Source organism: Homo sapiens, chromosome 7, assembly GCF_000001405.40.
Source record: "Homo sapiens chromosome 7, GRCh38.p14 Primary Assembly".
Classification (NCBI taxonomy): Eukaryota; Metazoa; Chordata; class Mammalia; order Primates; family Hominidae; genus Homo; species Homo sapiens.
Genome location: NC_000007.14, coordinates 47,350,126 through 47,374,759, shown reverse-complemented (window position 1 = coordinate 47,374,759; position 24,634 = coordinate 47,350,126). Strand labels below are relative to the sequence as shown.

Sequence of the window (24,634 nt, the reverse complement as noted above, 5' to 3'; positions counted from 1 at the left end):
AGAACCATATTATCAGTAGCATTCTCTCATCAGTTAAGGAGGGTATTCTTTAATGATGGATCAGCGCCTTTGGGGGCTGCAAACAGCAGGGTGCGGGCTCCTGTTTGGTTTCTCATTGGCGAGACTGGCAGTCAGCCATGCAGTGACCCTGCTTCCACACCTCTGTTAGGTGTCTTTTCTAGTCATGATTCTCTTTTTATTGCTCTTATCCTGCAGCTTTTGCATTGAGTCTTAGAAAGCATAGCAATGGCAGAAAGTGTTTAGATGAGGCTCTTTCCTATGTGCCCAGTGTAGAGGTAGCAGTTTCATAGGTGAGAAGATAGACGATACAGAGGTCAGAAGACAGATATTTACCCAGCCCTGCCACTTGGAGCTGTGTGGGTTTGAGCAACGAAACGCCAGCCTCACAGGTGGCAGGAGGATAAAGGAGACTGGAAATGGCAGATAGCATGGTGCCATTTGCTTGCAGCTGCTGTTTGCCAGGGCTCTGTCTCATTAATCTTTGTGCCCCTGGTTCCAAGCACACTGTGGCCAGATAATGTTCAAATGTTCCCTGGATCTCTGGCCCATGCTTCCTGCTTCATGGGCAAATGGGCTAACCTTTAGGTCATGACTTTTGTTTTCTTTGGAATTTAGAACCCTTAGATTGGGTGACTTCAGTTATTTTTCCAGTTGTGTTCATTATCAGTTGGAGACCAGCCAGGTCAGTAGTGATGGCTGCCCTGCTCCCGCCTCTCACGGATGGCTGGACCTGGCTGTGCTGCCTGGGAAGAGGCCCAGAGAGTGGGGACACCTGGGTTGCAGGTGGCCAAGCGCTGCACGGCTCTTCTACCTTCAGATCCTTGTGGGCTGTGTGTGTGTTTGGTTTTGGTTGGTGATTGTTCTTCGTTTGCTTGTTTTGCCTGCTAAGGCAGCTGAGCTTTCCAAAATAGCTCCCCACATTTTGTCATGTGTGAAAAAGCTCAAACTTTTAGCCTGTCACTCAATATTCACCGGGTGTCAGAGGCTGTTCACTAATGCTAGAAATGCAAGGGAGAGCAAAATAAAGCAAACTCCCTGCCCTCAGTGAGCCTGAGTTCCAGTGGGTAAAGGTGCAGTTCTTCTGAATGCAAGTATGTGCTGTGGACAAAAACTCAGTGAGGAAAGGGTGGTAGGGCAGCACCTGTTGAGGAGGTGAGGGAGCTGAGATGCAGAGAAAGACAAAAGCCAAGGCCACAGGGCAGGTGCATGCCTGCAGTGGACTGCTAGGAACAGGGCAGGCGGTAAAGAGATGAGCCCAGGGAGCGGATGCAAGGCCCTGTCCACTATGGGAAGAGCCTTTAATAGTAATTATGAGTACTCTTACTTGGAGCCTATGAGCTGGGTACTTTATGTCCATATTCTCTAGTTCTCATAACTTTAAGAGAAAAATGGATGGCATCTTTGTATCTTTCATTCCCTTGAAAGATAGGAAGCATTCCATTTTGTAAACGTAAAACCAGGAAACTGAACAGCCTGAATGTCATGACCAGGAACACACACAGAGTAAATGGTGGAATGGGGATCCCATCTTCAAAGATAAAGGGAAACGGCCGTCTCCTTTGTCCGACTGAAGTTCAAGCTCTTCCTTTTGCAAAATGATAGCCCTTTATGAGAAAACAGGATAGGAACGGTGTGTTCCAGAGGCCCCTTCTCCTTCCCTCCCCCTGAGGCTGACTCTCCTGCCCCCACTGAAGACCACGGAGGTGTAGGTGCAGGGGGTTGTCTGTGGAGCTCCTGGGATGGCCTACCCAGAGCTCTGCACCTTTAGGAAGATCTGTGCTCCTACAGAGTGATTCAGAAGCTTGACCAGTCCTATCTTGGAATTCACTTGATATGTTTCATATTCTTTTCCTGTACGTTTAACATTTATTGGGCATTTTCTGATGTAGAAAACTACCTATGTATGTAGCAGGAAGTTTAGCAAGAGTCCAGCCTGGTCTTTGGCACTGGACACAGTTGGATTGGACTCTCTCTGTCCCATGGCTGTACTTTCATGTATTAATAGGAAGGTGGTTGAACGCCACCTGGGCTGTCAGGATTCGATGAGACCCTGCTCTGAGTGCTCAGAATGGGCCTGACGTAGATGGAGTGTTTAGTCAATGGTAATGGAAAAGTTGTTGTTTTTAATGCATCTATTATTATTTTAAGATTTCTACTACTAATAAAATAGGATTATTCATACCCTCCCCCCAGGAGAGGGACTATCCTGTGCCTTACCATTTGGTACAGGGCCTTCTAATCAGGTACTGTTCTTAGCATACGGGGCAGGGAGCTAGCTGAAGGATTCCACCTCAGACTGATTAATAAGCACTTTTTGACAGCATTTTAATTTAGATTAGAAGAATTGTTTTACAACTCATTATTGGGCTTTTTTTTAAGTCATTGTGCCAATTTATTTTAACTCAGATTTAGGGAGAAGAGTGTGGGAAGTCATATAGACTTAGCAGCGTGAAATCTGTGACCGTAATGGGTAGGCTCATGCTCTGGGCTGAGTGGCCCTGCAGTGTGTGTCCTGGCTGCCCGCCAGGCGTGGGAGGGACTGGGCTGATGGCCATACAACACCTTCCATCGTGGGGAGGAGGAGTAGTTTCTGTCATTCTCACGGAGCAGAAGCCGTTTATCAGCACCTCCTTCTCACACGCTGAAAACAGCAGGAAGGATTTACCAGGTTCTTTCATTTGTTAAATTTTCCTGGTAACAGGAAATCTAAACAGAAACCAAATTAAATTGATGTTTACTCAGGGCCTATAAAGACACTCACCCGTGTGCTATGCCATTTAATTCTCAGGTCAACCTTTACATAGAACCATCTACCCACACCCTCATTTTATAGCGGGGAAGCTGAAGGTCAAGGTGAATGCACCAGTTGGTAGAACCCTAAGGGTGGACTCAGGATGGAGCTGGGATTTGAACCAGTGTCCATCTGATGCCAGAGCTTCTTCAAGGGACCACTCTACTTCACAGTCACCTAGTGATGGCATTAACAAATGCATTGCATTTTCCATTTTTGAAATTGTAGAGGTGATATTTGCACATGCCTTATAGTTTAGTCCAGTCTTTCCAGTCTTTCCCTTTGTTTAATTTGCACAGAGCTGGGCGAAATAGGTTTTTTAGTCTCTGCCTAGTCTGAAGCCTGGTCACTCACTGATCCCTGGTCAGAGCAATGTGAGTTCAATGCCACCTCTTTGTGGGCAGGGCCACTGACAGAGCCTCCAGGTGTGTGCCCTCCTGGTGCTCTCTGGGCAGGTGGGCAGTGGGCCAGCAGGAGCACACAGGTTTCAGGGCCAGTGCACCTGGGTTCTAGGCCCACCTCCACCTCCTAGCAGCTGCCTGACCTTGGGCAAGTTATTTATTCTCTTTGATCCTCAGTTCCTTATAGATAAACAAGGAATAACAACATAGGTCATACTGTGAGAATTAGAGAAAATGCACGATGCTCCTGCCCTGTCAATAAAAGGTACTCAGAAAACAGTAGCTGTCACTGAGACTGTTACCTTGAATTAATCCCATGGCATATGTTCTGTCATCACTTTCCCTGCCTTGAAGCCTTGGTTTATTTTCAGCATTTTATGTAGCATTTCTACTCCCAGACCCTTCCTCCCCTAGGCTTGACTTTAGGATGGGAGTCAGGGCCACTGCAGACGGGCCCATACCCCTGTGTCCACTCTCCCCACTCCCCACTTCTCTGCGTGCTTTCCCTTGGGCACTGTTGAAACAAGAAGAAAGCCTGGCGTGGGCGCGTTTTCAGCACCACACCCCAGGACCCCTTGGGACTCTGTCCCAACACGTTGTCCCAGTGTTTTCAAAAAGGCCAGCAGCTGCTGACCATGGTGGTGCATCAACCTGGAGCCCGGGGCTGTGAGGCACATGCTCAGGGCAGGTCCCTCCAGAGGGCTCCTGGGCCAGGCTCAGTGACTGCTGTTAGGTAGTGGCTCACGTCTCTCAAATTCCAGGTGCCCACGCAGCGTGGGCTTCCCACCACCAGCAGCTCCCTGGCTGTGGAATGCTTGCAATTTCACAGTCGAGGAAGTAGAAGAAAGTGCGGGAGGCCCATGGGGTGAGGCATGTGCTGACTACAAACTCCCGCTTATTTTAGGAGGCTCTTGGTAAGGACCTGCTATGTGTGGTCGCGGCAATTGGCCAGTCAGCAGATTGAGGCTTGGGAGTCCCCGAATGCCAGAGCCATGGCCGTGATTAATAATAGCAGCTGATGCTTCAGCCCTTCCTGCCCACACTTTAGTTCAAAGTTTCATTTTCCTGACATTCCATGTATGGAAATCAGCGCATGCAGGTCAGCCTCAAGTGTCTGTGATCCTGAGACATTCACCCGGCACCTACGTGGCCCAAAGTTGCTGTGCCAAACAGGAAGACCCAAATCAATTCCTGCACTTTCTCTTTTCATTGAATTTCGTATTGACATTTGAGCAGACATTCAGTTTTTTTCTTTTCTTTTTTTTTTGAGACGGAGTCTTGCTCTCTTGCCCAGGCTGGAGTGAGTGCAGTGGCATGATCTCGGCTCACTGCAACCTCTGCCTCCCAGGTTCAAGTGATTCTCCTGACTCAGCCTCCCGAGTAGCTGGGACTACAGGCATGCGCCACCACGCCCAGCTAATTTTTGTATTTTTAATAGAGACGGGTTTCACCAAGACATTCAATTTAGTAGGAGTTTGCTACCCAGCACCTAGCTGATGCTCAACAAATGTTAGACAGGTCTATGAACGGAAGCTCTTCTTGTCTAAGATGAACAGTCCATTCTTGGGGATTTATGATCCAAGCCGAGCTCAATGTTCACAATCATGATGAAATTAACCATGAGCCCTAAAGGCAAGATGATTCAAAAGGTGAAGAATCCCAGAGTTCAAAATGACAATTTGTTTTGCATGGAAAGGTAGAAGTGATTCTAGCACCTGAAGATGTTTATTTGAATGCCTTTTCATTGGCATCCTCCAGAGTATATATAGAACTTTGTGATGTTAGAGGAATCTTTGTCCTTGTTTATTGTAAGTCATATTTTGAATCCATTTATTTGTTTAGACAGATGCACACGCCCATTCAGAGGGTGTGAGGCTCACTTTCATCCCTGACTGAAAGCCTCTCTCCGGTTTTCTCCCCCGCAGTGCTACACACGCAGGGCCCTGTCGATGGCAGCCTTTACGCGAAGGTGAGGAAGAAAAGCTCCTCGGATCCTGGCATCCCAGGTGGCCCCCAGGCAATCCCGGCCACCAACAGCCCAGACCACAGTGACCACACCTTGTCTGTCAGCAGTGACTCCGGCCACTCTACAGCCTCTGCCAGGACGGATAAGACGGAAGAGCGCCTGGCCCCAGGAACCAGGAGGGGCCTGAGTGCCCAGGAGAAGGCAGAGTTGGACCAGCTGCTCAGTGGCTTTGGCCTGGAAGATCCTGGAAGCTCCCTCAAGGAAATGACTGATGCTCGAAGCAAGTACAGTGGGACCCGCCACGTGGTGCCAGCCCAGGTTCACGTGAATGGAGACGCTGCTCTGAAGGATCGGGAGACAGACATTCTGGATGACGAGATGCCCCACCACGACCTGCACAGTGTGGACAGCCTTGGGACCCTGTCCTCCTCGGAAGGGCCTCAGTCGGCCCACCTGGGTCCCTTCACCTGCCACAAGAGCAGCCAGAACTCACTCCTATCTGACGGTTTTGGCAGCAACGTTGGTGAAGATCCGCAGGGCACCCTCGTTCCGGACCTGGGCCTTGGCATGGACGGCCCCTATGAGCGGGAGCGGACTTTTGGGAGTCGAGAGCCCAAGCAGCCCCAGCCCCTGCTGAGAAAGCCCTCAGTGTCCGCCCAGATGCAGGCCTATGGGCAGAGCAGCTACTCCACACAGACCTGGGTGCGCCAGCAGCAGATGGTTGTAGCTCACCAGTATAGCTTCGCCCCAGATGGGGAGGCCCGGCTGGTGAGCCGCTGCCCTGCAGACAATCCTGGCCTCGTCCAGGCCCAGCCCAGAGTGCCACTCACCCCCACCCGAGGGACCAGCAGTAGGGTGGCTGTCCAGAGGGGTGTAGGCAGTGGGCCACATCCCCCTGACACACAGCAGCCCTCTCCCAGCAAAGCGTTCAAACCCAGGTTTCCAGGAGACCAGGTTGTGAATGGAGCCGGCCCAGAGCTGAGCACAGGCCCCTCCCCAGGCTCGCCCACCCTGGACATCGACCAGTCCATCGAGCAGCTCAACAGGCTGATCCTGGAGCTGGATCCCACCTTCGAGCCCATCCCTACCCACATGAACGCCCTCGGTAGCCAGGCCAATGGCTCTGTGTCTCCAGACAGCGTGGGAGGTGGGCTCCGGGCAAGCAGCAGGCTGCCTGACACAGGAGAGGGCCCCAGCAGGGCCACCGGGCGGCAAGGTGAGCTGGGTCTCCATGGGAGGTGCTCCACGGGAGGTGCTCCACGGGAGGCTAATGTGTGATGAGAAATCAGCCTAGTAGGTTAGCTTTTGGCGAAATCCACAAGGGAGGGACATTTCCCTTGCAGTTTCAACTCTTGTGAATTTTGGCCTAGGATCCAAATGCTGTCATGCTGGTGTGGTCCCTTGGTAGGAGATTTGGAGGATGGGAAGAACCAGGCAGAAGACTTGCTGTTAACGTCAGTGCAGGGGCAGGGACAGCATGCTCTCTGCTGGAAAGGGCCGGTCATGCCTCCATTGCAGAATGGGCTTAACAGTGAAACCATTCTTCCTTCGTGAATGTTGGTGGATTTACAAAGAAAGCATACTTACTTCTGTCCCTGCGGTATAGGTCAGGGCTTTGTGGAAGAATGCCAGGTACTTCAGTGGGGCTGAAGGTTGGGGATGAAGAAGACTACTGAGCCCTCAGACAGCTTTGGCACAAGGAATTGATTAAGCAGTCGTGGTATAAAATGTTCTGATTACAAATACACCTGTCAGAGTTGGCCGTGGTGGTGTGGGGAGACTGGTTATGGAAGGCAGTGGCTGGGCAGAGGCCTGGGGTCCACAAGGGGTTCTACTGTGGAGAGCAGCTCAGTGATGGGAGGGGCTTGGGGGAACAGGCCCAGGGGTGAGGGGACTGAGAGCTGTGGTGGGACCCAAAGCCATGGGACCCGGTGCGGGGGCCTCTGGGGATGCCCCAAAACCAGGCCGGGGTCATGCTAACTGCAGGGAGGCCAGGACTGCACATGTCCTTTTCCCGTGAGGCTGGTGGTTTGGAAACCAGCACAGTGCCTTTCTGTGCAGCCTTGAGGCCTGGGAGGAACCAGGGCTGAGAGTGGTGGACAGGCAGTGACATCTGCCTGGGTTACAGCAGCACTATCTTCAAGCTGCATCGATGTAATGGGGCAAGTTGCATGTTGGGACCAGGTTACTATACAGTGTTCTTTCTGTTGGGAAAGCATGAAGGCTGAGGGGACCAGAGAGCTGGAGGTGGTCAGGTCGGCCAGGGAAACACTCAGCAGGCAGAGAGGGGCATTGGGACGGAGCAGGGTTGTCTCAGGTAGGGGACTGTGTGGGTGAGATCATGTGGTCTGGAAGCTCCTGCACAGAGGTGCACGCCAGGAGAGGACGGCCAGGCTGTAGCGGCTGTGCCTGCGGGCACTGGGAGGCTACAGAAGGTGGAGAGACAGAGCTGTGTTCTGGGAGCCCTGGCAGTGCCATGCAAGGACCAGGACCCAAAGGATAACCTTGGGCCAGAAAGTGTGGCATCCGTGTGGTGCCAGGGCCTCCCACATTGGCACGTTGGGGTGTTTTGCCATCTGGGGGCTGCTGGCTCCTTAGAGGGACTTGCCTCTAAAAGTGAAGACCAGAGAGGTAAAGGACAAGGGACATGGCTGTGTGACGCCGTGCATGTGATTCCCACCATGTGCTGGTAACACGGATGAGAGATGCTACCATTTATGCTGGCGTGGTTCTTGGTTTAGGTGTGCTGGCCCATGTCATCGTCCTAAGCACCCCGGCTGCAGGCACCAGTCTCTGCCTTACAGTCGTGTTGATGGAGGTGTCAGTAGATTATGTGGCCTGCCCAGGTTCACATGGGACCTGCATAGTAGAGCAAAAGTCAGTGCCCTGAGGTGTGGACTCAGTGTCTCCATCCTCTTTGGAGTCACACAGGTGAGGACTGCAGTCCCGACTCAGGTCTGGGGTGGCCTGGGCGAAGGAGCACACACCCTGCAGATGTTGGTCCTGGCTTCAGGTCTGAGTGTGCTGTGGGTTGCCTGAGTGATGCAAGTGGGTAAAGGGCAGCGTCTCTGTGAATTTCTCTTCACTCCATCTGTGAGAAGGAAACCCTATCCCAGTGCCTGGCCCGGGGAAGGTGTGAAGAAACGCTCGTTCACATCCACCTTTCATGTACTAGGTGTGTGACTGAGCAAACAGCTGTCATTCCAGCTTGCCTGAGTAACTCCCTCTTTGTATGTCATGTGCTGGGAGTTGGAAGGAGCCTGGAGAGTCCCCCATGAGTAGATTATTGGACTTTACAATACAGCCGTATAGCAACCACAACACCACAGCAGGGTAGCAGTCCCTGAACAATAGGTCCAGGTCGATGCATTAAACAAATATATTTGGGAAATTCTGAGTTTACTAAAAAGGCTCTAATGGGAAAAAACTATCTGCAGTATCATACCTGACTTACTTCACCAAACCTTCTTAAAAGAAGTTACTTGGAAACATTAAAATCAGAAGTCTTTTCTCCTGGATAACAATCTCATGTAGGTTTGGAGGAGGCTGGAGGCATCTGAGTGTATGTGGAGAAGAGGACTCCACATACTTAGGTTAACATATAGTAGTCTCTTGGCTTAGGTTAACATATAGTAGTCTCTTGAGGTTAATATGTCTTCCAATTGATTGAATTCAATCCTTAGTGATTCCCTGTTCTTGCTGCAAAGAAACAGTTATAAGGCCTGGAATTTTCGAAAGCCACATCATATTATCCACCCTCAGTTTGGCTGTTTTTAAATTACTTGGTAAACTCATTACTTTATTTTTTTATTTATTTTTTTGAGACAGAGTCTCACTCTGTCGCCCAAGCTGGAGTGCAATGGCGTGATCTCAGCTTACTGCAAGCTCCACCTCCCGGGTTCGCACCATTCTCCTGCCTCAACCCAGTAGCTGGGACTACAGGCGCCCGCCATCACGCCCGGCTAATTTTTTTGTATTTTTAGTAGAGATGGAGTTTCACCATGTTAGCCAAGAAGGTCTCGATCTCCTGACCTTGTGATCCGCCCCCCTCGGCTTCCCAAAGTGCTGGGATTACAGGCATGAGCCGTTGCTCCCAGCCAAACTCGTTACTTTGAGAACACTTTTTTTTTTTTTTTGAGATGGAGTCTTGCTCTGTCGCCCAGGCTGGAGTGCAGTGGCACAATCTTGGCTCACTGCAACCTCCGCCTCCTGGGTTCAAATGATTCTCTTGGCTCAGCCTCCCGAGTAGCTGGGACTACAGGCGTGCACCTCCATGCCTGGTTAATTTTTGTATTTTTAGTAGAGATGGGGTTTCACCATATTGGCCAAGGTGGTCTTGAACTCCCGACCTCACGATCTGCCCACCTTGGCCTCCCAAAGTGCTGGGATTACAGGCATGAGCCACCGCGCCCAGCCCAATAACACATTTTGATTTTGATTTTAGATACTCTTTAATGCGTTTTATTATAAAAGTTATTTAATTATCATTTTGAAGTCTAAGGACTTTCATATCTCAACAACAGACCAGTAAAATTCAGTGCATATTTGGGTATTGACAATACAAATTTAAAGTATTTATTAATCTATTCATATTTGACAGGCATCTGGGGCCATTGGTCCATTTTTTTCATAGCTTCAGAACTAAAAAGATGTCAGAAGATTAGGTATAAGCAAAACTGGTTACCAGTCTCCCCAGAGCTTTTTAAAATTGGGAAGTGACCTTCTTGTAGGAACCCTGCCACACATGAGCAACTGTCCATGAGCAGTGATGAATGGACACTGAAGGGTTAGCCGCAGCATTGGAAACAGGGCAGAGTGAGCCATGCCCTTCCTGGGAGCTCCGCTTCCTCTTCCAGGACGTGCCTCTTGTGCTAGGTAAGCACCAAGCTGGGAGATGGAGCAAGCCTTGAGACTTGCACTTCATTTAGTGTCAAAAGCCTGCACAGTGTAGAGGTGGTCTCTGAACAGCCTGCATGGCAGGCTTTTGGATCTCAGTCCAAGACTTTCTGACCTGATAGAAATCCCATTAAAAGATGCTTACTGGGCCGAGGCAGGCAGATCACCTGAGGTCAGGAGTTCAAGACCAGCCTGGCCAACATGGCAAAACCCTGTCTCTACAAAGTTACAAAAATTGGTCAGGCATGGTGGTGCATGCCTGTAATTCCAGCTTCTTGGGAGGCTGAGGCAGGAGAATCACTTGAACCCAGGAGGCAGAGATTGCAGTGAACTGAGACCGTGCACTGCACTCCAGCCTGGGTGACAGAGCAAGCACTCTGGCCCAAAAAAAAAAAAAAAAAAAAAAATTATTGCTTACTTCTGTAGCTCTCAGGCACTGCAGCTAAGCAAGGAAGGAATTGTTTCTTCCCTCACTAGCAGGTATAGAAAACACTGGAACTCTTTTGATTTTAAAATTTAAATTTCAGTATTGACATTTCTCAATAGGAAATGGCTACTTTGGCAAGCGGCAGAAAACAAAAATTACTAGATCCTAGCAGGGACACGCGTACAAGTGTGGTAGCAAAGCAGCTAGTTCCGAGTCCCTGGGACATCGTCAGAAGGTTGGGGATGCTGCTGGAGTGCCTGCACTTTGAAGGTGTCCTAGATCCCTCAATCCATATCCGTCTCCTCAGCCAGCCAAAGGAGACCAGGGCTGTTGAGCTGGAGCCCTCCTCTTTCAGCTTAGATCCATGTGTGAATAGGAAGGATTCTGGCACGTCCAAAAGGCTCATGACATGCCCAGAATGGTACCATCACCTAACCCTGCAAGGGGCATCATTTCCACATCTGTGTGCATGAGGTTCAGCCCCATAGATAGTGTGGCATTGCCTGACTGACTGGAGACTACCTTGAGTCTCGCTCACAAGGGGAAACCATAGACTGGAAGTTCTGAGAGCACTATGTCTACATGAGCCCCTTCTTGCTGGCCTGCCTTCCATCTCATCCCTGGACACAAACTGCTACACAACTTTCTTAATTCTGACTGTGGATGAAGGTTTGTCACAGAGACCTCAGCATCCTGAAGTTACCAGAATCTTTCACTATTTGCAGATTATGTCCTCATTATGAGAAAGACCACCACTTGTGGTAGAGAGTTGGGAATAGCATTGCCCTGTGCTCCTCCGGGGGACTTCTGTGCATCCTGCATTATTTATGAGATGAAAATTATATGTGAAGGCTAAGTATTTCCTGAGAAAGTCTTTCATACCAGCACCATAATAATAATAGTGGTGCTGCTGCTGATGGTGGTGATGATCACAGTGATGGTGATGGTGATGATGATGGTGATGGTGATGATGGTAATGACTGTGATGATATTGATGGTGGTGATGGATATGGTGGTGGTGTTGATTGTAATGATGGTGATGTTGATGGTGGTGATGATGTTGATGTTGATGGTGATGACCCTTATGATGGTGATGACTGATGATGATGATGGTGATGATGACAGTGATGATGGTGATGATGATGATGATGATGATGGTGATGACTGTGATATTGATGGTGGTGATGGTGGATGATGACGGTGATGGTGGTGATGATGTTGATGGTGATGGTGATGACCCTGATGATGGTGATGACTGTGATGATGTTGGTGATGGTGATGGTAAATGACTCTGATGATGGTGGTGATGTTGATGGTGGTGATGATGTTAATGGTGGTAATGGTGATGTTGATGGTGGTGATGGTGATGGTGATGACTGTGATGATGTTGATGGTGGTAATGGTGATGGTGATGATGACAGTGATGATGGTTATGACTGTGATGATGGTGATGATGCTGATGGTGGTGATGATGCTTTGGTGATAGTGATGATGACGGTGATGACTGTGATGATAGTGATGATGTTTATGGTGGTGTTAGTGATGGTGATGTTGATGATGTTGGTAATAGTAAGAACTGTTACTCTGAGTGCCTACACTGTTTTAGGTACCTTCATTTCACCAGGACACGTAACAGAGCTCTCGTCTCTCTGACTCTGCACCCCATGGCTATGTCCTAATTCCACTAAACTCACACTCTTACACCAGCCAGTAAACCTGTTGAGGGAAGTGCTCATTATTTTTTTTCCCTGGCATGCAGGAAGAGTTCGACATATGTTTGCAAATACAGGGGTCTGGGACAGGCGGAACTGCAAATGATCCTTTTGAGACCTGAACTACTCTGCTGAATGGGCACTGAGGGGAGATTTATCGCTGGACAGTGTAGAGTAGCCCTGCCCACCTACAAGATCAGAGAGAGGCCCTCCAGAGGTGGGGTATCACAAAGCTCTGGTGGCTGAGACCTGGGTGCTCTGTGTGCCAGTGAGCACAGTTTTGTATCCTTCTTGTAGAATGGGTGAGATTCAGGGAGTTGGTTTGGGGACATTTTACTCCCCACAAGTGCCTGCCAGCCATGAGGCCCTGCTCCCTCACTCTGGTCTGACTTCTGCTGCCACTGGTGTTTTGTGGAAGAGCCCCTGGGTGCTGCTGCCAGGCTCATTGTCCCCGCCCCACTCTGGGTCTCAGCCTGGTTTCAGCCTGCACGTGGTGGGTTTTTTGTATCATACCCTTTTAAGTGGGAGAATATTTCAACTGATGATATCCCAGTAACAAAAGAAATGACTCAACCTGTGAAATTCATGATTCCGTGGGTGGCAAAAAGCCAGTTCTGTGGTTTTTTTTCATACCTTGAGGGCTCTTTGCTTCATGTTGTCAAAATATTTTATTCATGTTACATCAACCTCCACCCTGTGATGACAGCAACCTGGCAGGCCCTGTTCTGCTTGCAGATAGTGCTGTGGCATTCCCACCAGGCATTTAATGTCCCTCCCAGACTCGGCATCTGCTCTGTTAGTGCTAACCCATGGCTGATAACCTGTGCATCCTAAAGAAAGTTCAGAGCAATGGAAACTGTAAGCTTTTAATAATTGACCATGGAGAGCCCGTTGATTTAAATTGTGTGCTAAACCCCAACCAAAGGAACCAAATGTGAAAGCTGGAAGAGCGCTTTAGGATTCAGAAAGCAGCTTATCTGCAAGCTCTGATTCCGTGGCAGAAGGCTCACAGCCTCACAAAGTGGAGACAGGCAGACAGTCCCACCTCATTTCAACTCCAGAGTTGGGGAACGTGCTGGGGGTGCTCAGCCAGAGCCTCTCAGCCAGGCCTTGTGAGGCAGAGGGATCCTTACCAGGCAGATGGTCTGGAGGAGAGGCAGACCGGGAGAAAGCATAGTGTGCCAGGGAAGTTCAGTGCTGGGGAGTGAGGCTGGAGATGCAGATAGGCCCCACCATGGAGGGCCAGGATGGGGGCCAAGGAGTGTGGCTCTTCCCTGAGGGCAGAGGCGAGCCTTGGGGTCTTGGGCTGGGCCCTTGCTTGTTTTTTTTTTTTTTTTTTGGCATGGTTACTGTCTTACCAGAAGAGAAGGCACTGAGAAGGTGCACTGAGCCTGGGAGCTCTATTAGGGTCCCAGAGACAATGGAGGATAGCATTTAGGCAGGATGGGGGTTCCATGGGGTGGCATTGGCCTCCAACTCTGCAGAGGAAGAATCTCAGGAGGGAGGGAGGGAAGTAAGCAAGTGGGCCCCAGCGCCTGCGCCCGTAGCAGCTGGACATTGGAAGAATGAAGGGGCCTTGAATTTGGCTATTAGTGATCTGGGTATGGGGGTTTCAGATCCGTGCTAGGGACACAGGGGATCCATGGTACTTTCTAAAAGTCCAGGTGTCGTTATTTCCGTACTGTGTGTTATAACTGAGCAGTGCCCAGTTATGGGCATCATCCTGCCAGTGCCGGGCCCTCAGAGCATGGGGGAAGACAGCAGCGTGCGCATCTGAGGTGGAGGATGGAGGAGTGACCGCAGCACCAGGCATAGACACTCCTGGAGCCCTCCAAGGACTCAGGCGTCAGCAAGAGACCAGGGCTGATGGCAGCACCTCTGCCTTTTGGGGGCTGTCTCTGGATGGTCTCAGTCAGCCCAGGGTCACCTTTATTCTGAGATGCTTCCCTTGGCCACCACCCCCTCCAGGGAGCTGAGTGAGGTCCTAGGACCCAGGTCTTATAAAGGGACTTCCTGGTACTCACATCAGAGAACCAGGATAGAGGAGGTCTGGGAGCCAAGGAGCCAGGGCCCCGGGCGCTGGACATGCGTCCGTGAGGGACTCTTGCTCTTTGTTTGCTACCACTGGCAAAACAAGGCTTTTTCTCCATCTGTGAGCTTCAGTCTCTGGAGGTTTCTGAGAGAGATGGGATATTTATGTGCCTTGAGAACTCTGAAAAGAGACTCCTGCCCAGGGGTCAGGACTAGACACAGCTCCTCTCCACCTTCAGACCCCGATGCTTTAGGGCCGTGGGTATGAACAGGTCATGTGTATGTGAGTGCACATTTAATAACCGAGTCAGCCCACTGCACTGCAGGGAGCTCTGTGGGTGTCCAATTCGGAAAACGTTTTAGAATGAGAAACTCCAGTCTGCTTGGGGAAACTGCCATTGCAATTACTTTCTTTTTATTGCATAAAACCAACTTTGAAATTTTAGAGTTGATGAAGCTTTCCATTTGCCCCAGATACTCTCACTCTGCAAAGCAGGGGGCCTTGGTTTCCCACCCTACCACCTTGGTGGGCGCTCTGAAGACACTGCTGAGAGGCTAGGGCCACAGAGGAGAAGGTGCTATCTGGGCCTTCTGGGACTTTGAGGTGTGGATTCCAGCCCACCTTCTGCTCAGTCCACACTGCCCGTGATAGCTACATCAAGGGACCTTCACTGGTTCAGGCCCAAAATGAAGTATCGTTTCTATAACAGATACCTTCTAGCGCCATCTTTACTCTTCTGAGATGAAAGTCATAGCGAATATAACCTCCTTAAGCACATACTGAAAACTAAATTTAACACCCTAACACTCATGTCAAAGGAAAAATAAAAAGAAAGTAATTCACAATAAAGTCATATGAATTTTGAGATGAAAATCTTTGGTCCGGCCCACAGTAGAAAACAGAAATCATCCCTCAGGTTTAAAAAATACTCATTAATTTTTTATTGTGGTGAAATACATGTAACATAAAATTTAGCATTTTAATCATTTTTAAGTGTACTGTTCAGTGGTAGTAAGGACATTTGCATTGCTGTGCAACCATCATGACTATCTAGTTTCAGAAATTTGTCGTCATCCCAAAGGGAAACCTTATACCCCCTGAAGTCACTTCCTGTCCACACCTCCCTGCCAAACCCCTGGCACTCACTCATCCCCTCCTGTCCCTGGGGATGTGCCTACTGTGGACATTTTACATAAATGGCATCACAAAGTATGTGCTTTTTGTGGCTGGCTCCTGTGACGTGGTGTGTGATGTTTTCGAGCCGGACGTGTTACAGCCCATGTGGGAACTTCAGTACTGCTCCTGGCAGAGTAATATTCCACAGCTGGGATAGAGCACAGTTTGTTTATTCATTCCTCTCTCGATGGAGACTTGGGTTGTTCCCACCTTTGGCCTCGGTGAATGGTGATGCTGTGATCATGGGTGTGCCTGTGTTTGTCTGAACACCTGCTTTCAGTTGTTTGGGGCGTTACCCAGGAGAGGGGTTGCTAGGTCCTGTGGCACCTCTGTAACTTGCTGGGGAACTTCCCCACTGATGCTTGAAAGTCATTTGGTATCACCAGGTCTCTGGGGTGTTTCATTTGTCCCCAGAAGCTCTGCCTAAGCTGCACTGGGAGTGGGCTGATCTGTGTGACCCTAACGGCCTGAGTGCTGGCTCAGGGGAACTGCTAATTTATGGAATCCTAGGTAGGTGGTGGTAGAATTCTCTCCCTCTGTCAGGGTGGAGCAGTTACGACAAATCCACAGTCTCAGGGACATAAAGCAACATGGTCTTTTTCCAATCATGCCACATGTCCACTGCATTGTGGCTTGACATGGGCCTCATGCCAGGACCTGGGATGAGGGGTGAGCCCTCTCTGTGCACCCAAGGCTGCCGACACTCCCGAGAGCACTGCCGGCTCCCACGGCTTCTGCCAGAAGTCACCGGCTGCGTCGCTCCCCACAGTTCATCAGCCTGGTGGACCTGTGGCCACACTTATGTTCAGCGCAGCCCATGTGGCCCTGAAGGTGGACAGCTTTTGTATCCGTACTGAGGCATGGGATAATAAACGCCACAGTGATTAAAAGAGGAAATGTTGGCCAGGCGCGGTGGCTCATGCCTGTAATCCCAACACTTTGAGAGGCCACGGTGGGTGGATCACGAGGTCAGGAGTTCAAGACTAGCCTGGCCAATATGATGAAACCTCATCTCTACTAAAAAATACAAAAATTAGCCGGGCATGGTGGCACGTGCCTGTAGTCCCAGCTACTCGGGAGGCTGAGGCAGGAGAATCACTGGAACTGGGGAGACAGAGGTTTCAGTGAGCCAAGATCATACCATTTCACTCCAGCCTAGGCAACAGAGTGAGACTCCGTCAAAAAAAAAAAGATGAAGTGTTAGTGGAAGAGGCCAGTAAGGTCACGTGATGGGGGGTGATCCAAAAAGAAAACCAATGCATGTGAACAGGCAGGCATTGAAGCCTGTACAGAAGCCCCATTGATGAGGTATTTGGGGCGGGGCAGTGTGTGAGGCAGGCGGGGGTCCCCCTTCTGTGGTTTGCAGCTTTTCACATCTGCACGTAAGGTTACAGTTGACTTACAAAACATGGGGTATTGCTGGCATTTCTCATGTTGGAGGGCTTCGTTGTGTGGACGTATCATTTCCCTTTTAAATATGCCTTTTTAGAAGAAATGCCACCACCTAGCCATGGACTTCAGTGTTTCCCAGTGGAAAGAATTTTCAATTTTGCAATCTAAAAAATGGGATTCCCCCCTTCCGCCTTCTGTTGCAGTTTTGCCGGCGCCTACCCGTTCTCTTAGAATCAGGGTTAGACATGAAGACAGCACGACTGAGGGAGGGTGGGCCTGGGAGGGGAAGGCTCTTCCCTGGGTTGGTCTTGATATGTCCGTCAGAACCCTGGCTAATGATTTCCTAACACATTACGCTGTAAAAAACTGCAAGTTGTGCGGCTCTTTAAGGCTATGCCCTCCACGTGGAAGGGGCTGGTCAATCAGTCCTGTTTCAGTTTTGGGAGAAGACTCCTAAAACCATTTCTGGGAGCATTTCAGCTGGGAGGAGTGTTGGGGCATCCTTGTCATGCCACCCTGCCTCCTTTTACACACTGTCTCGAAAAGATTAGTGTGTGTGTGTGAATGAGCTGAAGTCTGGAGGCCTCAAGCTCACCGTGAAGCAGTCTTTGCCTGTTATTTGTTTTCACTCCTAGGAATGCAAGGGAGCTTCCAGAACCTATCAGGCACACCTGTGTGATGTCGCGCTTTATTCCTAGAAGATCACATCAAGATAAATCAGTAGCTTATGGGGACTTTACCTTCTAGTGCCCAGATAGAAAATGAAAGAAGGCATGTTTTAAAATAGGTAATGTTCTAGCATGTCATGAGTTTTCACCTGTTCTTATTTTTTAAGTTAATTAATTAATTTATCATTTGAGATAGGATCTCACTCTGTCACCCAGGCTGCAGTGTAGTTGGTGTGATCACAGCTCACTGCATCCTTGACCTCCTGGGCTCAATTGATCCTCTCACCTCAGCCTCCAGAGTAGTTAGGACGACAGGCATGTGCCACCATGCCTGGATCATTTTTTTTTTTTTTTGTATTTTTCTGTAGAGACTGGGTTTCATCATGTTGCCCAGGCTGGTCTGGAACTCCTGGGCTCAAAAGATCCACCCTCCTCAGTCTCTCAAAGTGGTGGGATTACAGGCGTGAGCCACTGTGCCCGGCCCCTGTTTTTTCTATGTTTTAATTAACTTATTTATCATCGTATTTATTTAAGGTGTTTAACATGATATTTTGTTTGTTATATCTATACATAGGGAGAGGATCACTACAGTCAAACCAATGGACATATCCACCACTTTACCTAGTTACTTTTGTGTAAGAGCACCTAAGGTCTACTGTCTTAGTCAATATTGCATCCTGAAGATTTGCTCAGGGAGCGGATTCCGTCTCTTTTAGAACAGAGGTTGGACACTTTGTCTTGCATGTTGGAGTCACCTGGGGAGCTTTAAAAATGCAGACGCTAAAAATGTGGGTACCTGCTTCTACCTCCAGAGGGTGGCAGATTGAGTTGGCCCTGGTGGGGCCTGGATGTCAGACTTGCTTTAAAAATGCTCCCCAAATAATGCAGTGCTAATTCAGGGTTGAGACCTGCTGTGATTCTTGAGCTTGGTTGTGTGTTGGAAACACTAGGGAGTTTTTAAAAATACTGACACCTAGGTCTCACCGCTGGAGGTTCTGACTTCACAGGTGAGGCCCGAGCTTTAGGATTTTAGTGATAAAAGGTGGACAATGGCCTTTGAGAACCACTGTTGTATATTTGCAGTTCTCAACTTAGGTGCGTGTCCCAGCCTCCAGGAGAGCTGGCCCTTGGCTCATTGAGGCTGGAACGTGCCGCAGGGTGGTTCTAAGATTTGTGACCCTGCTGTGGAATTTAGAGGACAGCCAACAGTCACGTATTGGTTATCAGAGGCAGAGGCAGGCGACCCCATGGGCTGCCTTCCACCTGGGTGCTGGCTTTATTTCACCAGGGCAGAGTGGGCTATGTGACCCCACAGTGGAGAGAATGCAGTGACATGAAGTGTGTGAGTGGGCAGCATGGTGGGTGTCCGCTCCTGAACACTTGACCCATCTTCCTTCCCCTCCCTCATCCCACTTCCCAGCAGAGCCTCAGGGCCTGGGATCTGCCAGGCCGTGCGCTGGCAAAGATCAGTCTCCAAGAGCAGTCTGAATCACAGAATCACAGCTCAGGGTCAACATAAGTACTGACTTACCTATCAGGATGTGTTATTTTACACTCTCAATTAGTTTACATAATTGGGAGTTCAGTGTATTTGGACAAGGTGGAAAGTTGCCGAAGAGCTTTGTGGGTGTTTTAAACAAAATTTAAAAAACATTTTCTGGCTAAGCGATCTGAGAAGCCCTCTCCTGCACTTCAGACTGCTCAGGGGTGAATTGATGGCAACAGTGCTGACCCCCAGGCTGGGCTGAGTTCAGTCCCACATGTGTTTAGTACAGCACCCAGTGTCTTGGCCTGAATCCCTGATTCTCCAGGGCTCTGACGGCGATGCATCCCCTTCTCACGAGGCCCCTGGGTGCCCCCAGTCAAGGACTGGCTTTCCTGCTCTTTCCTCAGAGCACGTGAGGATTCCCTGTCAGGACCGTCCCCCACCCTGTTGTGGTGGCTTTGGATAAGGTACGTCATAGGATGCACCTGGGGCTGAGGCCCCACCATCCCCAGCTCCTCCTGTGGGGCCGGAATGACTGAGCGTCCTCCTGCCTCGCAGGCTCGGTGTCCTTTTGCACCCTGTGGTGAATCCCAGATCCCGCTGGGCGTGGCGGAGTCTCAGGTGACCCTGCGCAACTTGCTGGCTGGGCAGCCCTCAGCACGTTTCCTTATCTGTCCTTGACGCCGGCTCCACCCGTGAATAACAGTGAGACTGCTAAATGAGGAAACATGCTGGTCTTTGGGAGTGGCAGTGTAGGGGACTTTGGGGCATGTGTCCCATTTTATACTCAAGGTCACGTGGTTCCCGAGGCTCTGGGTGGGTAGCACCCAGTGTCTGGAGGGAAGGAGGCTTGGGCGAAGACAGCTAAATGCCTGGTGTGGGGACTGCCCAAAGAGATGGGCAGCGTCCAGTCATGTGACCTTTGGAGACCATGTTACCATGTCATGTTTTGGTGGACAATGAGCGTGTCACCGCGACAAGAGGGGCACAAGACTGTGTAAAGAAAAAGCCACTGCCTGTCCCTCCCTCCACAGAGACCCCAGCTGCATGGAGTGGGTGAAGCTGCACATCACCTGCAGATCACCGGGGTCTGTGTTCACTGGGGGTTTCAAGGGGCCTGAGATTTCTGCACTGAGTACTCATGACCTTTGTAAGGAGAGGATGCAGGATTTTTTTTTTTTTTTCCTGGCTGGGAACTGGCAGGGAAGTAAGGGCAGCTCTTCCCCAGCACCTGGGCCTCAGGCTGGGAGCAGGGTGGGCACAGGTGTGAGAGATCAGGGTGTGTGTGCCATGGGTGCAGCCAGATGCAGGTGCCCCCCTGCCCCACCCCAGGGCTTTGGGAGCTGCCCTTTGCCCGTGAACATCCCTGTGTGGGAGCTTGGGTTTTGTTCCCTTTCTCCTTGGTTTTTCTGAGAAGGGGTACGTTGGGGAGCTGGGGGTGGGAGGGCGGATCGCCCAGAGCCCTGCAGGTGCTCTCCAGTGCTGGCAAATTCCCTCTTGTCCCCTTATCAGCTCCTTCCAGAGGTGACAGCCATCTGTGTGGTGGCAGCTCTCTCCTGCTCCCATGAGGTCTCCTTTTTCTTCTCTTTTCCTGGATTTGACTTCTTAACTGAACAGAAAAATATATAGGCATGGACAGTTTTGTAGTAGTGTTTGGAGAATAGGCCTTAACAATATAATTATTCAATTCATGATTTCATTGTTCAAACTGCCCAATCTCATTGCATTACGGCCAGTTCTTTGTCGTACCTTGGAATTTGTGTGTGTGTGTGTGTGTGTGTGTGTGTGTGTGTGTGTGTTTTGTCCTCTGTGTTTGTTTGTTTGTTTCCTTTTGATGCATATAATGTAATATTCTTGGTGAAGGCCATACCTCCCCTTTCTGCAGGTGTGAGTGGGAGGGCTGCAGGTTGCGGAGTGAGACCTGAGGCTACACTGCTGGCCCCTGCAGTTTTACCAGAAGCTCAAGGATAGGATGGTTGTAGGGTGAGGCCCCTTGTGGTCCCAAGCAAGACCAGGGCAGCTGAGGAGGGTGGAGGAGGAGGGGTGCTGGGCTGTGGTAGGAGGGAGGCTAGGGGACAGGAAGAGACTGCTTCAGGTGCTGGTCATTTCACATTGATGTGAAGTGTGTAAGAAGTAATTGATGGACTCAAACAATTAAATGATTCCCTCGGGGAGTGCTCAGGAATTAAGCCTCAGTGAGGAAAAAGAAATGTAAAAGTCATGTGTGTCTTCATTGAGATATGTGGCTCTTCACAGGTTCCAGGGAGCTTGGTTTGCTTCCATATGTTTCTATGTGTTTTTCTAATCTTCTGCAATGATAGAACATCATACTAAAGAAAACCATAAATCAGTCACTTTGGAAGAGAGATTTGGGGTAGAGAGAGAGTGTTTTACCAAGTGCTAGGGCCTCCTTTGGGTTTAATTCAGAAGTCAGTGCCTCAGCGCCAGGGCTCCTAACCTGTGGCCTGGGCTCACCTGTTCACCCCTCACCTCTTCACCCCTTCAGAGCTCACCGACTTAGCAAAGAAGTACTGAACCCGCAGGGTGTCTCAGCTTGGACAGACTTTGGAGCTGAATAAGACCTGATCCTTGTCCCCACCTGGGACAGCTGGCTGCTACTGCCTCTGTCCTCAGAAAGCAATCCAAGAGCTCTCTGAGCTGGCAGTGCAGAGGTACGGAGCTTGCTGTTTATGCAGACCTTCTCTGGAGAGGTGAGCATTGATCCTGGTAGGCAGCGTACCAGAGCTAGCAAATGAACCGCCTGAGGAAATGTCCCCAAGCTGTGGCCTCTCATAGGTCACCCAGACATCAGAGTGTGAAGCAAAAGTGCTTTGCTTCTCCCACCTCTGCCCCACCTGTAGCCACATGAAAAGAGTGGTTCTGGAAGTCCCTGGTGTAACTTTGGTGTAGCACATGGGCTGTGGGCTCTGTGTGCACACTCGAGACCCAGCGCAAGTCACCACTGCCATGGAGTCACCTGTGGACCCAGGGGCTGGGCTAGTCAGAGCAGTAGATGGGATGAGGATCTGGGGGCCTTGAGTGGAGGGGCAGCTCTCAGTGAGAAGAGGGTGCCTTTGGCTGCATCTGCCCCTGGAAGGGAGCCAGGAACCAACCCCTCTACAGTGGAGATGCTGATGGGTGGCCTCGTCCTGGAGAAGGGGCCAGGATGGAAAGGACGGACCTCCAGGAACAGCCAGCGCCCTGGCTTCCTGACAGGCAGCTCCCAGGTGGGGAGAAGGGCTTGTTTGACACAGGTGTGAGGTTTGCAGATACAGGGTGATGAGGTGGGGCCAGTATTCAGAATGCAGAACCTGACCCTCCACCATCACGGACCATCCGTTTGTGAGCAGCACATGCAGCTGTGGGGCCGTGTTGGAGCACAGGGTGGGTGTGAGTGAGCGTGTGAGACTGTGCGTGAGTGTGAGTGTGAGAATGAGTGTGAGACTGTGTGAGGCTGTCTGTGAGTGTACAAGACTGAGACTGAATGTGAGTGTGACAATGTGTGTATCATGAAAAACACTGTGAGAGACTGCACGTGTGTGAGTGCCAGTGAGTATAGTGTAAGTATATGAGAAAGTGTGAGAGCATGAGTGTGTGTGTCTGCTTGTGACTGTTGTGTGAATGTGGGTGAGAGTGTTAGTGCAAGGGTGTGTGAGTGTAAGAGTGTGTGAGAGACTAAGAGTGTGAAGTATGCAGGTGTGTGTGACGTGGGTGTAAGAGTGTGTGTGCAAATGCATGAGTGGCTGAGTCTGCATGAGTGTTATGAGAAAATGTGTGTAAGAGACCACGTGAGAGTGAGTGTTCATACATGTGTCTGCAAGTGTGTGGGTGTGAAAAAGTGCCGGAGACTGGGAGCACATGAGAGTTTGACTGTGTGCATGTGAGTATGTGGGTGTGTTCCTGTGAGAGAGGTGCGGGGTGTGTGGGAGGGGCAGCTCCAGTCTCCAGGGAGCACTCCTAGCGTGGTCCATTCTTCACGGACAGGAGCCCGTTTTGTAACCCCACTCTGAGCTTAGTTCCTGCTCGCTGTTGCACCCGTGCCCTAGGGCCTTCCTTGGTTCTTTCTTGCACACAGCAGACATAGGTGCCGTGGCCTGGCTTCCATTGCCATCTCTGCCCTAGACGTTGTGCACGGGTTAAAGGGAGGCAGCGCCTGGTGGAACGTCCTGGGCTTGGATGTGGCACCGGAGCCTTGACTGGATTCTGTTCCACTACTGGGCTTCCTGGGCATCTACCTTGGACCTAGCGTGGAGTCTCACGTTCAAGTTGTCTTGCCTGAAGAAGACAGCTAGTGGGCCTGCCTTGGGTCTCTGTTGAACAATTAAAGGAGCACCGAGATCCCCTCTGTTGAATAATTAAAGAAGGGAGAGAGAGACCCCTGCTGCAGGACGCCTTGCATTGTAACCTCTGGGAAGCATAAGCCCTGCTCGCTATAAATGAGAATGTCACTTCCACATCTCCTCTGAGCATATTGGTCCAGAAAACTACCTCCCACATTAATTTTCATATGGCTATCAGACATGGGAGATTTATCAGAGAGAAGGAAAAGTGTAAGGATCAAACACGTGAGTTTGGGAGAATACAGGAACTAATACTAATGCAAAATTAGAACGGGATTTAGGGAAATTCAGTACAGCAGCACAGAGTACTACAAAATAAAAGAAGCTTTGTTCCTCTCGAAGGTAATCTGTGTGTTGTTTCCCTAATTTTAAAAAGTAATACATATTACTGGCGAAAACCCTGAAAGATAGAAACATTTCCGAAAAAATATGAATGGTGCCTAGAATTACACAACCCAGAGAGAAGCTCTTATGAGCATTTTAGGACATTTTCTTAGTTTTTAAAATAAAAATGAAACCACACTACACATGCATCTTTGCCCACTGTCTTTTGTCACTTAATGTTGGAGCGTGTTTGTCCACTTCAAGTTCCATAAACTTGACTTTTAATGACAACATGAACAGCCCATTTTGAGTGTGGCCCATTATAACACTTACTGCCTGCAACTGTGTGCCAAGCCCCAGCCTTTGCTGCATTATCTGTAGGATCCCCTAAGCCAGCTTTGTGTTGTTCTTATTTCATTCTGGAGATGGCTTTGAGGACTCGTCCCCTGTGAGCAGAGAGGCAGAGTCCACCCCTGCCAAGTGGCCCCTGGGCTGGCCTCTGAGTGAGCATCTACTGCTGGTGACAGGACATGGGTTCAACAGCAGCTCCCGCCAGCCCGGTAGCAACGCCTTGAGCAAGCTGCCCTCTCTCTTCTTCTCTGACCTTCCCCGTAGCCAAGGACTCTCAGATGGGAAGAACTTGAAAACTGTCCCTCCTTCCTTTTCTCTAGACTGCTGTGCACTCAGACCCTTTGGAAATGCACCCCCACCAGGTTCTCTGCTGGACCCCATGTATTTACTTAGACACTTGGCAGATTTCCTAAGACTGGGAAGAATAAACCATTGTTAAATCTGAAATTCACACGAGAGACAGAAGAATTTGTGAAGCCTTTGCTGGCTGCCCCATCAGGACATGTCCGGGAGGAAGAGTGCCCCTTCCTCAGCAGGATGAGGGTAGCCATCTTGTTCCCAGGGGCCCCTCTGTCACCACAGGCAGTGGAAGTGGGCAGTGCCTCCCAGGGCTCATGGGGCCCCTGTCTGCCCCGTGTAGGCTTTTTGGGG

The 24,634-nt window shown here is 50.1% G+C and overlaps 1 protein-coding gene and 1 long non-coding RNA gene across 26 annotated transcripts in view, besides 4 other annotated features; both read left to right on the top strand.

Annotated features, from left to right (window-relative positions):
- Positions 1–24,634, top strand: part of TNS3 (tensin 3) — a 307,433-nt gene that overhangs the window by 207,827 nt on the left and 74,972 nt on the right. For all 25 annotated transcript variants that reach the window (XM_047420733.1, XM_047420729.1, NM_001410878.1 and 22 more), the window contains one exon: positions 5,139–6,395. In XM_047420733.1, the coding sequence (XP_047276689.1) occupies positions 5,139–6,395 (1,257 nt within the window). The remainder of the gene's footprint in view (positions 1–5,138; positions 6,396–24,634) is intronic.
- Positions 2,034–2,624: an enhancer, noted in NCBI's record as "NANOG-H3K4me1 hESC enhancer chr7:47411733-47412323 (GRCh37/hg19 assembly coordinates)". NCBI's record gives its function as "activates a minimal SCP1, AML or CMV promoter by ChIP-STARR-seq in primed H9 embryonic stem cells {active_cell/tissue: H9 hESC(primed)}" and the evidence as "EXISTENCE:reporter gene assay evidence [ECO:0000049][PMID:30033119]".
- Positions 2,625–3,216: an enhancer, noted in NCBI's record as "NANOG-H3K4me1 hESC enhancer chr7:47411141-47411732 (GRCh37/hg19 assembly coordinates)". NCBI's record gives its function as "activates a minimal SCP1, AML or CMV promoter by ChIP-STARR-seq in naive H9 embryonic stem cells {active_cell/tissue: H9 hESC(naive)}" and the evidence as "EXISTENCE:reporter gene assay evidence [ECO:0000049][PMID:30033119]".
- Positions 3,217–3,807: an enhancer, noted in NCBI's record as "H3K4me1 hESC enhancer chr7:47410550-47411140 (GRCh37/hg19 assembly coordinates)". NCBI's record gives its function as "activates a minimal SCP1, AML or CMV promoter by ChIP-STARR-seq in naive H9 embryonic stem cells {active_cell/tissue: H9 hESC(naive)}" and the evidence as "EXISTENCE:reporter gene assay evidence [ECO:0000049][PMID:30033119]".
- LOC124901629 (uncharacterized) lies at positions 13,555–23,841 on the top strand. Its single transcript, XR_007060319.1, has 2 exons — positions 13,555–20,951; positions 21,475–23,841. It is a non-coding gene; the product is annotated as an uncharacterized LOC124901629 (long non-coding RNA).
- Positions 16,662–16,821: a silencer, noted in NCBI's record as "silent region_18167". NCBI's record gives its function as "represses an Ori minimal core promoter by ATAC-STARR-seq in GM12878 lymphoblastoid cells {active_cell/tissue: GM12878}" and the evidence as "EXISTENCE:reporter gene assay evidence [ECO:0000049][PMID:35858748]".